Below are 16,032 nucleotides of genomic sequence, written 5' to 3'. Positions count from 1 at the left end.
ATTGGCTTTAAAACTCCACATTGCTATACTTCTTTTTTTTTTTGAGAGGAGTCTCACTCTGTCACCCAGGCTGGAGTCCAGTGGCACCATGCCGGCTCACTGCAACCTCCGCCTCCCAGGTTCGAGTGATTCTCCTGCCTCAGCCTCCCGAGTAGCTGGGATGACAGGCACCCGCCACCATGCCTGGCTAATTTTTGTATTTTTAGTAGAGACGGGGTTTCACCATGTTGGTCAGGCTGGTCTTGAACTCCTGACCTCAAGCAGTCTGCCCGCCTTGGCCTCCCAAAGTGCTGGGATTACAGGTGTGAGCAACCTCACTTGACCCACATTGCTATAATTCTAATACCAACTTTTACTCTGAACAAGGAGACGCTCTCAGGGGCTCATAGAGTACTCATTCACCAAAGTCCTCCTATACAGCAGACACTGCTCTGTACAGGCTGTATATAAATTAACAGTAAATAGAGTGCAAGTCATTATTCCAAACTCACAGCCGGGCACAGTGGCTCAGCCTGTAATCCCAGCACTTTGGGAGGCTGCGGGTGGGTGGTTCCTTGAGCTCAGGAGTTCAAGACCAATATGGTAAAAACCCTGTCTCTACTAAAAATACAAAAATTAGCCAGGCGTGGTGGCGCACGCCTGTAATCCCAGCTGGGTTTACTGTAAACCCAGTCCGAGCTGGGTTCTTTGCCTTCCTCCCCAAATCCACACCTTGCTCTCATGCACCCTGTCTCAGTGCATGGGTCAATCCTTGTCCTCTCCGATGACCAGGCATTGAGTTCTGATTCGCCCTTCTAAATCTCTCTCCAGTGAGATACCTCCATACTACGCCCATGTTAGTTCAAGTCATTTTTTATCCTAGATGACAGAAATAACTTCATGCTGACTTCTGTTTCTATTCTCTCTCGGATCTAACACACCCTTTATGATGTTATCCGTGTGACCGCTATAAAACACATATCTGCACCATTTTAAGTGTCTTATTTCCCCATTACTTACAGATAAAGTTCAAACTCCTTAACCTGGCACATAAAGGCCTGTTTGATCTGATTCCCAATTAACTTCTCTGTTGAATTCCCTGCCATTCCCTTGGGGCCCCAACTTAAACTGAATGTCTTTCAGGACTGAGAATATACTTCCAGGCTGGTGACCGCCTAATTTTTTTTTTTTTTTTTGAGACAGAGTCCCGCTCTGTCTGTCGCCCAGGCCCAGGCTGGAGTGCAGTGGCATGATCTCAGCTAACTGCAAGCTCGGCCTCCCAGGTTGACGCCACTCCCCCGCCTCAGCCTCCCGAGCAGCTGGGACCACAGGCGCCCGCCACCACACCCGGCCAATTTTTTGTATTTTTAGTAGAGATGGGGTTTCACCGTGTTAGCCAGGATGGTCTCCATCTCCTGACCTCGTGATCCACCTGCCTCGGCCTCCAAAAGTGCTGGGATTACAGGCATGAGCCACCGCGACCGGCCACCTCCTACTAATGTTTTAAGATTTAGCTCGGGGTGTCCAATCTTTTGGCTTCCCTGGGCCACACTGAAAGAAGAAAAACTGCCAGGCATGGTGGCTCACACCTGTAATCCCAGCACTTTGGGAAGCTGAGGCAGGTGGATCACGAGGTCAGGAGTTCGAGACCAGCCTGGCCAACATGGTGAAACCCTCTCTCTACTAAAAATACAAAAAATTAGCTGGGCGTGGTGGTGGGCTCCTGTAATCTCAGCTACTCGGGAGGCTGAAGGAGGAAAACTGCTTCAACCTGGGAGGTAGAGGTTGCAGTGAGCTGAGATCACGCCATTGCATTCAAGCATGGGTGACAGAATGAGACTCTGTCTTAAAAAAAAAAAAAACTGTCTTGGGCCACAAATAAAATAAGCTAACAATAATAGTAGCTGATGAGCTTAAAAAAAAAAAAAGGTCCATGCATAAATCTCATAGTGTTTTAAGAAAGTTTATGAATTTGTGTTGGGCTGCATTCAAAGCCATCTCGGCCGCAGGCTGGACAAGCTTCATTTAGCTCAAACATCAACTCTGCAGTGTTTTCTCTCCAACCACTTATCCTACTGCTGGTCAAATTCCTTATTCTATCCCTAATGCTCTAACAGTACTTTGTATACAATACTACGTTTCATGTTTGTGGTAAAGCATTTGTGTCGTACTGTACATGTTCACTTTCTCTGCATCTCCTTCCATCCCTGAAGACCAAAGCCTTGCCCTTTTCATCCCCAGGGCCAAGTCTAATGCTCAGCAAATTACAGGTATCCAGTGAAAGTTCACAGTTAACTTTCCCACCTCCCCCACTGCTACAGTCAAGGTCACTCTGTTCTTTGTCTTTTTGTTTCCCAGGCTCGCTCTCTCTGCTCACTAACAGGAAGCAGTACTAGCTCATCACTCAATCTTCACAACAACCTACAGGCTAAGTGCTGTTCGGTTATCCTGAATTTCAAGATAAAGGCACTAAGGCTTGGAGAAGTTATACAACTTGGAATGTGAGTGTGACTGCTGAACCAGGATTTGGACACAGATCTATTTGATTTAAAGCTGTGTCTCAAAGTCCAACTTAGGTGACTCCCTTAAATATGCCTCTCTTTCACCTCAAAACCTTTTAGCGTCTTATCAACTCTTTTCTTTCTCTCTTCTGTAAGAGGGAAGCACTTCTCCTTGCAAAGATTAACTCCCTTCAGCTGCACCTTCTTATTCCCTCTGGACCTGCCTCATCTGAGACTTTCTGTCCTTCAAATTCGTCCCCTCTTCATCTCAAAAATAACTTGAATTTGTTTTGTTCTAGAGCAGTGGTTCTCTAAGTGTGATCCCAGGCCAGTAGCATCAGCATCACCTGGGAATCTATTGGAAATGCAAATTCCCAGGCACTACCCCATACTCACTGAGTCAGAAACTCTAAGCGTGGGGCACAGAAAGTGGTTTTAGTCAGCCCTTCAGGTGATTTTGACAAAGGCCAAGTTTGAGAACCACTGTGGTAGTGGCTTCTTTCAAATATATGCTCAATTTCACATTTTTTTTTTCTTTTTGAGACAGGGTCTTGCTCTATCACTCAGGCTGGAGTGCAGTGGGGTGATCCTAGCTTACTGCAGCCTCCACCTCCCGAGCTCTATCTTCCCACTTCAGTCTCCCCAGTAGCTAGCACTACAGGCATGCGCCACCATACTCAGCTAATTTTTTACTATTCAAATAAATGGGGTCTCATTATGTTTCCCAAGCTGATCTGGAACTCCTGGCCTCAAGCAGCCCTCCTGACTTGGCCTACCAAAAGGCTAGGACTGCAGGCGTGAACCACCATGCCTGCCTTCAATTTCATATTCATTTATTTCTTCTTCTTGAGACAGCGTCTCGCTCTGTTACCCAGGTTGGAGTGCAGTGGCGCAATCTCAGCTAAGTGCAGTCTCCACCTCCCAGGCTCAAGTGATCCTCCCATTGTAGCCTCTTGAGTATCTGAGACTACAGATGGAGCCACCACACCCAGCTAATTTTTGCATTTTTTTAGAGATGGGGTTTCACCATATTACCCAGACTGCTCTCAAACCCCTGGGCTCAAGGGATCCACCCACCTTGACCTCCCAAAGTGCTGAGATTACAGGCGTGAGCCATTGTGCCCAGCCCAATTTTACATTCTAAAACAATCCAAACAAGGCCAGGCAAGGTGGCCCACGCCTGTAATCCCAGCACTTTGGGAGGCCGAGGTGGGTGGATCACTTGAGGTCGGGAGTTCGAGACCAGCTTGACCAACATGGTGAAACGCCATCTCTACTAAAAATAAAAAATTAGCCAGGCACCATGGTGTACACCTGTAGTCCCAGCTAGCTACTTGGGAGACTGAAGCAGGAGAATCACTTGAACCCGGGCCCGGGAGGCGGAGGTTGCAGTGAGCCAGTATCGCACACCATTGCACTGCAGCCTGGGCAACAAGGGCGAAACTCTGCCTCAAAAAAAAAAAAAAAAAAAAAAATAATAATAATAATAAAACAACCCAAACAGAAACACTTCTCCCCCCCGATTCATCTCATCCACTACTGTCTTAATCCTTTGCCATTCGCTTTCTTCGAGGCATCAATCACTCGGTGTGTAAGTCCAGAACATGCATGTACTCCTCAAACTCCTTTGACCAAGCTGGACACCCTTATTCCCTTTACAAATAAAACAATTGAATCTACTTGTCCAAATGGATCTGGGAGTTAAGTGCAGCAATTCTATCTTAAGGAGAAAAATTTGAAATATTATCAAACGTAGCACGGAGGGTAATAAAAGTAAAAACGCATTAAAGATGTCAAGATAGACTGGTTTAATTGAGTAGTGAAATCAGAAGGCAGATTGCCAGAGGCCAAAGACAGACAATGTGAATTCAGGACTCCTTCACCCCAGCACGCGCGCGCGCGCGCGCACACACACACACACACACACACACACACACACACACACTAAAAAATAGCATCTAGGATTTAGGTGAGCAAACTGAAATCAGTAATTATAAATACAGTCTTTCCTGTTCCAATGATTGTGAAGTGACAGTGAGATAAGAGTTCCACAGATGGGCCAGGTGCTGTGGTTCACGCCTGTAATCCCAGCACTTTGGGAGGCCAAGACGGGCGGATCACCTGAGGTCAGGAGTTCAAGACCAGCCTGGCCAACATGGTGAAACCCTGTCTCTACTAAAATACAAAAATTAGCTGGGCATGATGGCGGGTGCCTGTAATCCCAGCTACTCAGGAGGCTGAGACTGGAGAATCACTTGAATCTGGAAGATGGTGGTTGCGGTGAGCCGAGATTGCACCACTGCACTCCAGCCTGGGCAGCTGAGTGAGACTCCTTCTCAAAAAAATAAAATAAAATAAATGAGTTCCACAGATGAAAGAGGACATAAAGAGTAATATCCAGAGGCTGAGGCAGGAGAATGGCGTGAACCCGGGAGGCGGAGCTTGTAGTGAGCTGAGATCACGCCACTGCACTCCAGCCTGGGCGACAGAGCGAGATTCCATCTCAAAAAAAAAAAAAAAAAAAAAAAAAAGAGTATCTAATAAAGTGTTAAACTCAACACAGTACAAACGTACTCATTACTCAACAGCACTAATAGAAATATGCCAGCCACAAGTGTGGGCAAAATTTGCTAGTAGCACATAAAAAGAAACAGATGGTGCCAATTTTAATATCATATTTAACCCAATATATATGAACTTTTTAACATATAATCAGTATTTTTTGAGAAAAAATCTTAATATCTTTAATAATGTTATTTAACCATATATATATATATATTTTTTTTTTTTTTTTTTTTTTTTTTGGAGACAGAGTCTAGCTCTGTTGCCAGGCTGGAGTGCAGTGGTGCGATCTCGGCTCACTGCAACCTCCACCTCCCGCGTTCAAGCGATTCTCCTGCCTCAGCCTCTTGAGTGGCTGGGACTACAGGCGTGCGCCACCACACCCAGCTAATTTCTGTATTTTTAGTAGAGAGGGGGTTTCGCTATGTTGGCCAGGATGGTCTTGATCTCTTCACCTCGTGATCCACCCACCTCGGCCTCCCAAAGTGCTGGGATTACAGGTGTGAGCCACCACACTGGGCCTATATTATCTTTTTAACATGTAATCAGTATTTTTTTTTCTTTGAGACAAGGTCTCACTCTATTGCCCACGATGGAGTGCAGTGGTGCAATCACAGCTCACTGCAGCCCTGACCTCCCAGGCTCAGATGATCCTCTCACCTCAGCCTCCCTAGTAGCTGGAACTACAGGTGTACACCACCAAGCCTGGCTAATTTTTTGTAAAGATGGGGTTTTGCCATGCTGCCCAGGCTGGTCTTGAACTCCTGGGCTCAAGTGATCTGCCCAGTTCAGCCTCCCCAAGTGCTGGGATTACAGGCATGAGCTACTGTGCCTGGCCATAATCGGTATTTTTTTCTTTTTTTGAGATGGAGTCTCGCTCTGTCACCCAGGCTGGAGTGCAGTGGCATGATCTTGGCTCACTGCACCCGCTGCCTCCCGGGTTCAAGTGATTCTCCTGCCTCAGCCTCCCGAGTAGCTGGGATTACAGGTGTGCGCCACCATGCCCGGCTAATTTTTGTATTTTTAGTAGAGACGGGCTTTCGCCATGCTGGCCAGGGTGGTCTCGAACTTGACCTCATGATCCGCCCGCCTTGGCCTCCCAAAGTGTTGGGATTACAGGTGACAGCCACTGAAGTGAGTGCACCAAAAAAATCTGTGGTACTAAATTATCAAAATCCAGTGTGCATTTTACACTTTTAGCACAAGTCAAGTTTAACAAGGTGCATTCCACGTGCTTAAGAACCTGACCTGGCTGATGGCTACCCTCATGGACAGTATAACTATAGAAAGTAGCCAGCTGGGCACGGTGGCTCACGCCTGTAATCCCAGCACTTTAGGAGGCCGAGGCGGGTGGATCACCTGAGGTCAGGAGTTTGAGACCAGCCTGACCAATATGGTGAAACCCTGTCTCTACTAAAAATAAAAAATTAGCTACGCATCGTGGTGTGCGCCTGTAGTCCCAGCTACTCGGGAGGCTGAGACAGGAGAATCGCTTGAACCCAGGAGGCAGAGGTTGCAGTGAGCCAAGATCGTGCCACTGCACTCCAGCCTGGTGACAGAGCGAGATTCTGATTTAAAAAAAAGTAGCCTTGAACAACTAAGTTTTCAGGACAGCACTGAAGATAAGGGAAGCCCCCGGGACCTGCCGCCTGGGCCCAGCAGCAGCTCCTTACTGCACAAAGGGCTCCATACAGCAGGCACTGTGGCTCTGTGCCAGCTGCCTCCTTGCTGGGAATCGTCATCCTTGCCCACCTTTCTCTTTCTAGCAAACTCTTCCTCATCATCTCATTCAATTTATCCAATAAGAATCTACTGAGAGCCGTCAGGCCTGTAATCCCAGCACTTTGGGAGTCCCAGGCAAGCGGATTGCTTTGCACTCAGGAGTTCGAGACCAGCCTGGGGAACACGGCAAGACCCCACCTCTACAAAAAATACAATAATTAGCCGGACATGGTGGCTCATACCTGTAATCCCAGCTACTAAGGACACTGAAGCAGGAGAATAGCTTGAGCCCGGGAAGCAGAAGTTGCAGTGAGCCTAGATCGGGCCACTGTACTCCTGCCTGGGAGTCAAGAGACCCTGTCTTAAAACAAAAACAAAAAAATCTATTGAGAGCTGACTGAGCCAGCCACTCTCTGGGCCCTAGGGATACAGCAGAGAAACAAGCAAACAAAACCACAGGCTCTCCTAGAGCCTATATTCTAGCTGAGACGTACTCCCGAGAAAACAAATCACTCAAAGAGAGAGTTGGTGGGACTTATGATTCCAAATAAGGTGCTCAGGAAAGGGCTCACAGAGTAAGCATGTGAAGTCTAAGCAAGAATCCGCAGGAGATAAGAGCACATGGCCACATCCACAGAAGATCATTTGGTAATTTTATTTACTATTTCACTATTTGGGCAGCTATTATAACTACATGTAAATGAATATCAAAGATGATTAATATTAAAGCGGAGAGCAGGTGCACACTGGCAGTGCAAGGAGAGGGCAGCACTGCCCCTGCTGGATGGAGGCTCCAGGAGGTGAGCGCATCAATCTCCAGGTTGTGATCTGACTTCTGCTTCTCCGGGAGCTGACAAAGCCCCTCCTGAGGAAGTCGTGAGCAAGATCTTGGAGTTTTGGGAAACACAGGGCTCAGCATAGTCAGGCACCAGGCAGGGCCAAGGTGGGGACCAGGCGCTGGACCTGCAGTGGAAATACAGTCAGAGCAAGGGGGCTGCCCTGTACTTCCTGTTTCTAAGCTCACCATGGCCTGCCTTCACCTCTCGGTGGGTTGCACTGCTGCAGTATGGCTCAGTTGCCCTCCACGTCTGGTGCAGAGCCGCCACCCTAGGATCACTTCTCGCCATCCTCTGTGGGCCTCCCAGGCCATGTCTACTGTGTTGGGCTCCTGTTTGCTGTATCTGTGTCTTACTCTTTCATGATTTAGTCTTTCAATTTGGTGGAACACATCTTCCAGTAGCTTCTTGAGAAGGAGTATGACATTTAAATTTTTTAAACCTTTTTCGGCCAGGCACAGTGGCTCAGGCCTGTAATCCCACCACTTTGGGAAGCCGAGATGAGTGGATCACTAGAGGTCAGGAGTTCAAGACCAGCCTGGCCAACATGGTGAAACCCCTTCTGTACTAAAAATACAAAAATTTGCTGGGTGCGGTGGCTCACGTCTGTAATCCCAGTACTTTGGGAGGCCGAGGCAAGCGGATCACTTGAGGTTGGGAGTTCAAGACCAGCCTGACCAACGTGGAGAAATCCTGTCTCTACTAAAAACACAACATTATCCAGGCGTGGTGGCGCATGCCTGTAATCTCAGCTACTCGGGAGGCTGAGGCAGGAGAATCGCTTGAACCCAGAGGCGGAGGTTGCAGTGAGCAGAGATCGCGCCATTGCACCCCAGCCTGGGCAACAAGAGCAAAACTCCATCTCAAACAACAACAACTAGCCAGGTGTGGTGGCAGGCGCCTGTAATCCCAGCTACTCAGGAGGCCTAGACAGGGGAATTGCTCAAACCCAGGAGGTGGAGGTTGCAGTGAGCCAAGATCATGCCACTGAATTCCAGCCCGGGCGACAGAGTGAGACTCCATCTCAAACAAACAAACAAAAAACAAAAAAAAAAAAAACAAAAACACCTTTTTCTCACTTATTCTTGTTGTATAGTTAGGCTAGGTACAGAAGTCCAGGTTAGTAATCACTTTCCTTCAGAATTTTGAAGACATTGTTCCAATTCTCTTTTTGCTTCCTATGCTGCTGCCATGAAGTCCAAAGACATTCTGATTCTTGATATGTGACCTGGTACCCTCCCATCCAGAAGCTTGTAAATCTTTTCTATCAACTCAATGTTCAGAAATTCCATGCCTGGTGCAGGTCTATTTTCTTCCCTAGTGCTAGGCACAAGTACACAGTTTTAATCTGTTGGCTCATGTGCTTCTGTTATCAACTATTTTATAGGTCACTTCCCACCTTGTTTTCTCTCTTCCTGTAATTCCTATTATTCGGATGTCGGACCACTTACACTGGTCCTTAAATTTTATTGATATGCCTTTATTAAACAACTCTTATAATATTGTTAGAACATTTTTAGGGCATGTGGTTTATAAAATCACAGTTTCTGTCTCACTTTTCAAAAACTGTGGTCAAAGGCACAGAACATAAAATTTACCATCTTAACTTTTTAAAGTATACAGTAGTCGGCTGGGTGCAGTGGCTCATGGCTGTAATCCCAGCACTTTGAGAGGCTGAGGTGGGTGGATCACTTGAGGTCAGGAGTTCGAGTCCAGCCTGGCCAACATGGCAAAATCCCATCTCTACTAAAAATACAAAATTAGCCAGGCGTGGTGGCAGGCACCTGTAGTCCCAGCTACTCAGGAGGCTGAGACACAAGGATCGCTTGAATCCAGGAGGTAGAGGCTGCAGTGAGCCAAGATATCACCACTGCACTCCAGCCTGGGCGACAGAGTGAGGCTCCATGTCAAAAAAATTAGTAAATAAAGTATGCAATAGTGTTAACCAAATGCACATTGTTGTGTAAGTAGAACTTACTCATCTAGTTATATCCATGAACAACTCCCCTATCTCTTCCCCGAGCCCATGACAACTACCATTCTACTTTCTGTTTCTATGAGTTTATTTTAGACATCTCAAATAAGTAGAATCATGCAATATTTATTTTTTGTGACTGTCTTATTTCACTTAGCATAATGTCCTCAAAGATCATGTTGCAGCACAGAACAGTATTTCCTTCTTTTTTTTTTTTTTTTTTTTTGAGATGGAGTCTCGCTGTCGCCCAGGCTGGAGTGCAGTGGGACAATCTCGGCTCACTGCAGGCTCCGCCTCCCGGGGTTCACGCCATTCTCCTGCCTCAGCCTCCCAAGTAGCTGGGACTACAGGTGCCCACCACCTCACCTGGCTAATTTTTTGTATTTTTAGTAGAGACGGGGTTTCACCGTGTTAGCCAAGATGGTCTCGATCTCCTGACCTCGTGATCCGCCCGCCTCGGCCTCCCGAAGTGCTGGGATTACAGGCATGAGCCACCGTGCCCAGCCTATTTCCTTCCTTTTTAAGGCTGAATAATATTCTGTTGTATGGATATGCCACATTTTCTTTATCCATTCATCTGTGATGGACATTCAGGTCGCTCCCTCCTAGTGTGATCAATGAAGCCCTAAACATGGATGTGCAAATCAGGACCTCCTGCCTTACCTCTACCAACTCCACTTCCCAACTGGTCCTAGCCCAAAGCCATACAGCTTCTGACTCTCACTTCAGAGCACCTTCTATAATACCATTAACACACAGTCAACAGATGCTTGATGACTGCCAAATACAGCAGGTACAATGCCAGACTCTTGGTCTTGCTCTTAAGTTGCTCATAGTCTAATACAGAACAGCAAAAACACACTAATTAAAAGTGTGAAAGCCAGGTGCATTGGCACACATCTGTAATCCCAGCTACTAGGGAGCTAAGCCCAGGAGTTGAAGGCTGTAGTGCACCATGATAGCACCTATGAATAGCCACTGCACTCCAGGTTGGGAGACAGAGCAAGACTTCGTCTCTACCAAAAATAAAAATAAACCCAGCCTGAGACTCTGTTTCAGGGGTAGGCGGCTGGGAAATAACAAAGAAAGAAAGAAACAAGGTACCTCTTAACTGAAAGAATAGCAGGCATAATCAATAACCAATTTATAAGACTTGCTAAAGGCTTTTTGTTATATTTCTCACTGAGAGTGAAGACTAATGACTAGATAAATCCTTTTGCAAGTCGGATGGTTTCTAATTCTTAGTTTTCAATGAAATTAAAAGACTAACCAAGTTGTCAACTGATAAGTTAATTTTTGATTATATGTAACTGTGATTTTTTGGCACACAATTCAGGTTTCAAAATATTGAGTAACATTGCTGGCTAGGTGTGGTGGCTCACGCCTGTAATCCCAGCACTTTGGGAGGCCGAGGTGGACCAATTACCTGAGGTCGGGAGTTCAAGACCAGCCTGACCAACGTGGAGAAACCCTGTCTCTACTAAAAATACAAAATTAGCCGGGTGTGGTGGCGTATGCCTGTAATCCCAGCTACTCGGGAGGCTGAGGTGGGAGAATCACTTGAACCCTGGGAGGCAGAGGTTGCGGTGAGCCAAGATCACGCCACTGCACTCCAGCCTGGGCAACAAGAGCGAAACTGTCTCAAAAAAAACAAAACATTGCTATAACTAAACTTATTCCCTTTTTTTTTGAGACGGAGTCTCGCTCTGCCGCCAGGCTGCAGTGCAGTGGCACAATCTCCGCTCACTGCAATCTCTGCCTCCCAGGTTCAAGCGATTCTCCTGCCTCAGCCTCCCAAGTTGCTGGGATTACAGGCAACAGCCACCACACCCGGCTAATTTTTGCATTTTTAGTAGAGACGGGGTTTCGCCATGTGGGCCAGGTTAGTCTCGAACTCCTGACCTCAGGTGATCCGCACCTGCCTCGGCCTCCCAGAGTGCTGGGATTACAGGTGTGAGCCACCGTGCCAAGCCATTTTTTTTGGTTTTGTTTTTTTTTTTTGAGGCAGAGTTTTGCTCTGTCACCCAGGCTGGAATGGAATGGCGCTATCTCAGCTCATCGAAACCTCCGCCTCCCCAGTTCAAGTGATTCTCCTGCCTCAGCCTCCCGAGTAGCTGGGATTACAGGCACATGCCACCACGCCCGGCTAATTTTTTTTTTTTTTTTTTTTTTTTTGAGACGGAGTTGCGCTCTGTCGCTCAGGCTGGAGTGCAGTGGCACGATCTCGGCTCACTCCACGCTCCGCCTCCTGGGTTCACGCCATTCTCCTGCCTCAGCCTCCTCAGTACCTGGGACTACAGACGCCCGCCACCACGCCTGGCTAATTTTTTGTATTTTTAGTAGAGACGGGGTTTCACTGTGTTAGCCAGGATGGTCTCGATCTCCTGACCTCGTGATCTGCCCGCCTCGGCCTCCCAAAGTGCTGGGATTACAGGTGTGAGCCACTGCACCTGACCACGCCCGGCTAATTTTTATATTTTTAGTAGAGACGGGGTTTCTCCATGTTGGCCAGGCTGGTCTTGAACTGCTGACCTCAGGTGATCCGCCCGCCTCTGCCTCCCAAAGTGCTGGGATTACAGGCGTGAGCCACCGCGCCCAGCCATTATTACTTTCCTTTATAGTTTATTTATGTGAGCAAGAATTTCTGGGACTTAAATTTACAAAAACAAAAACAAGAACTGAACTGAGAACTCTTACTTTGGCTACAAGTAACTCCATAAATGACATGAATAAATCAAGGCAGGTAAGGGAGCCCTATCTCATTAGGGAGGGCATTTCTAATAAACTTGTACTTTTTTACATAATAATTACTTATAAAAATTTATAATGCGGCCGGGCACGGTGGCTCACGCCTGTAATCCCAGCACTTTGGGAGGCCGAGGCAGGCGGATCACGAGGTCAGGAGATCGAGACCATCCTGGCTAACACGGTGAAACCCCATCTCTACTAAAAATACAAAAACAAAATTAGCTGGGCGTGGTGGTAGGAGCCTGTAGTCCCAGCTACAAGGGAGGCTGAGGCAGGAGAATGGCGTGAACACGGGAGGCAGAGCTTGCAGTGAGCCGAGATTGTGCCACTGCACTCCAGCCTGGGCAACAGAGCAAGGCTCAGTCTCAAGAAAAAAAAAAAAAATTTATAATGCATGCGTTGTTTTGTACTAAATTACTATAACTCAACTTGTTGAAATAAGAAATAGATGTACCAGAATCTTATAAATGCTACATCTATTATTCTGCATGAATCAACTTGAAAGAGAGCAAAAGCAGCTGGGCGCGGTGGATTACCTGAGGCCAGGAGTTCAAGACCAGCTTAGCCAATATGGTGAAACCTCGTCTCTACTAAAAATAAAAAAATTAGCCGGGCATGGTAGCTACTCGGGAGGCTGAGGCAGAACTGCTTGAACCCGGGAGGCGGAGGTTGCAGTGAGCCAAGATCGTGCCACCACATTCCAGTCTGGGAGACAGAGTGAGACTCCGTCTAAAAAAAAAAAAAAAATCCTGCCAAAAGGATCCAGCTTAATGGTGAAAGTAAATTTAAAATTTTTATTTTGGCCAGGTGTGGTGGCTCACGCTTGTAATCCCAGCACTTTAGGAGGCCGAGGCAGGTGGATCATGAGGTCAGGAGGTTCAAGACCAGCCTGGCCAACATTGTGAAACCCCATCTCTACTAAAAATACAAAAATTAAGACAGGCGTGGTGGCAGGTGCCTGTAATCCCAGCTACTCCGGAAGCTGAGGCAGGAGAACTGCTTAAACCCGGGGGAGTGGAGGTTGCGGTGAGCCAAGACCATGCCACTGCACTCCAGCCTGGGCAACAGAGCAAGACTCCATCTTGAAGAAGAAAAAAAATTTAATTTTTTATACCTCTTTTTGTTGCAAAGAAATGTGCTAGAATGATAAATAAAAGGCTTCCAAACATATATTACGTTAAAATAAAACATATTATGTGGGCTAAGTGTAAAAAGAATGCAAGTTCCAGGAGAAAAAGGAATTTAAAATTTCTGTTAAAGCATTCTTTAAACAGTTGATGAAAGATAGCATATCGCTAAGATATTCGGATTCCACTGGCTACATTTTAAAAACTGATGTAACCATTTTATTTTTAAATGATAATATTTATAATTCTCTGGAAGTTATATACCCTGCAACTATAAATAGCACCTTCTTTTAAAAGAGTTGATTCAAATTAAATATATGTAGCAATTATAAGACTGTTACCTAAATGTATTATTTCATATATTTAATTTAATAAAATTGAATTATGGTAACTTAGTTTACAATTGATAAACAAAAAAATGCATTATAAGTTTTCATAAGCTTAAAAACTTAAGATGAAAAGTGCTAGGTGTCAACTTAAAAATGTGTGAGCGAGGGCCGGGCGCAGTGGCTCACATCTGTAATCCCAGCACTTTGAGAGGCTGAGGCGGGTGGATCGCAAGGTTAGGAGATCGAGGCTGGCTAACAAGGTGAAACTCCGTCTCTACTAAAAATACAAAAAAAAAATTAGCCGGGCGTGGTGGTGGGCGCCTGTAGTCCCAGCTACTTGGGAGGCTGAGGCAGAAGAATGGCGTGAACCTGGGAGGTGGAGCTTGCAGTGAGCCGAGATCACACCACTGCCCTCCAGCCTGGGAGACACAGTGAGACTCTCTTAAAAAAAAAAAAAAAAAAAAAAGCGTGGGGCAGGGGGTCGGGCATGGTGGCTCACGCCTGTAATCCCAGCACTTTGGGAGGCGGAGGCAGGCGGATCACCTGAGGCCGGGAGTTCGAGACCAGCCTGACCAACATGGAGAAACCCCATCTCTAATAAAAATACAAAATTAGCCTGGCATGGTGGTGCCTGCCTGTAATCCCAGCTACCCGGGAGGCTGAGGCAGGGGAATCACTTGAACCCGGGAGGTGGAGGTTGCAGTGAGCCAAGATGGTGCCATTGCACTCCAGCCTGGGCAACAGGAGTGAAACTCTGTCTCAAAAAAAAAAAAAAAAAAAAAAAGTGTGAAGGGGTTCACAGTATTTCAACATTATTTTGTCCAAACACCCAGTCTCAAATATAAGGCTTTTCATGACCTAACTCACCTTCTTGCCTTTAAGTCCCAAATTCAAAGAACTACTAGTGCTTTTGCTTAGTGCCCTAAAGGAAATCAAAGTCCTATTAAATACCACCTGATAAGAGCTCATGTCTTCATGCATAGCCGCATATTAAAGATTTGAAATGTTCTTTCTTTTTAGATGGAATCTTGCTCTGTCACCTGGGCTGGAGTGCAGTGGTACAATTTCAGCTCACTGCAACCTCCGCCTTCTGGGTTCAAGTGATTCTCCTGCCTCCTGCCTCAGCCTCCCAAGTACCTGGGATTAGAGGTGTGTGCCGTCACGCCCAGCTAATTTATTTTTATTTTTTTAGTAGGGACAGGGTTTCACCATGTTGGCCAGGCTGGTCTCGAACTCCTGATTTCAAATGATCCACCCACCTCAGCCTCTCAAAATGCTGGGATTACTGGTGTCAGACACTGAATGTGGCAAAAATGTTGGTTTTTTTTTTATTATTTATTTTGAGATGGAATCTCACTCTGTCGCCTGGGCTGGAGTGCAGTGTCACGATCTCGGCTCACTGCAACCTCCGGTGCCCAGGTTCTAGGGATTCCCCTGCCTCAGCCTCCTGAGTAGCTGGGATTACAGGCACGTACCACCACGTCCGGCTAATTTTTGTATTTTTAGTAGAGATGAGGTTTCACCATATTGGCCAGACTGGTCTCAAACTCCTGACCTCAGATGATCCACCCGCCTTGGCCTCCCAAAGTGCTGGGATTACAGGCATGAGCCACCGTGCCTGGCCAAAAATGTTCTTAATAAAGCAAATTAAGTTTGTTGGCCAGGTGCGGTGGCTCACGCCTGTAATCCCGGCACTTTGGGAGACCGAGGCGGGTGGATCACCTGAGGTCAGGAGTTCGAGACCAATCTGGCAAACATGGTGAAACCCCGTCTCTACTAAAAATACAAAAAATTAGCCTCAGCTACTTGGGAGGCTGAGGTGGGAAAATTGCTTGAACCCAGGAGGTGGAGGTTGCAGTGAGCCGAGATCACCCCACTGCACTCCAGCCTGGCGACAGACGGAGACTCTGTCTCAAAAAATAAATCAATAAAACAAATTTAAAAAATAAAATACATTTGTTTAGCCAATATGTGCAGATGCTCAGAGGGAAAAAGAATTGTTTAGCCCAGTGTTCCTCAAATGTGTTCCACTGTAACTTTCAACAGCCCATGAAATTAGTGTTCCATGGAACACCTCTGGGGAAAGCATCTGGCTAAAGCTTAAGATCCACCTTAAAAGTAAATTCTTTTTTTTTTTTTTTTTTTTTGAGACAGTCTCGCTCTGCCACCCAGGCTGTAGTACGATGTCACAATCTCAGCTCACGACAACCTCGACCTCCTGGGTTCAAGTGATTATCCTGCCTCAGCCTCCTG

The 16,032-nt window shown here is 46.5% G+C and overlaps 1 protein-coding gene across 1 annotated transcript in view, besides 1 other annotated feature; it reads right to left on the bottom strand.

The window, feature by feature from the left end:
- MAML1 (mastermind like transcriptional coactivator 1) overlaps nucleotides 1-16,032 on the bottom strand; it is a 44,462-nt gene that overhangs the window by 19,674 nt on the left and 8,756 nt on the right. The gene's annotated exons all lie outside the window — the stretch shown is intronic.
- Nucleotides 7,362-7,862: an enhancer, noted in NCBI's record as "H3K27ac hESC enhancer chr5:179176749-179177249 (GRCh37/hg19 assembly coordinates)". NCBI's record gives its function as "activates a minimal SCP1, AML or CMV promoter by ChIP-STARR-seq in primed H9 embryonic stem cells {active_cell/tissue: H9 hESC(primed)}" and the evidence as "EXISTENCE:reporter gene assay evidence [ECO:0000049][PMID:30033119]".

The sequence above is a fragment of the Homo sapiens genome, chromosome 5 (genome assembly GCF_000001405.40).
Source record: "Homo sapiens chromosome 5, GRCh38.p14 Primary Assembly".
Classification (NCBI taxonomy): Eukaryota; Metazoa; Chordata; class Mammalia; order Primates; family Hominidae; genus Homo; species Homo sapiens.
Note: the sequence above shows the minus strand (reverse complement) of the source record. Positions and strands in the feature narration are given on the sequence as shown.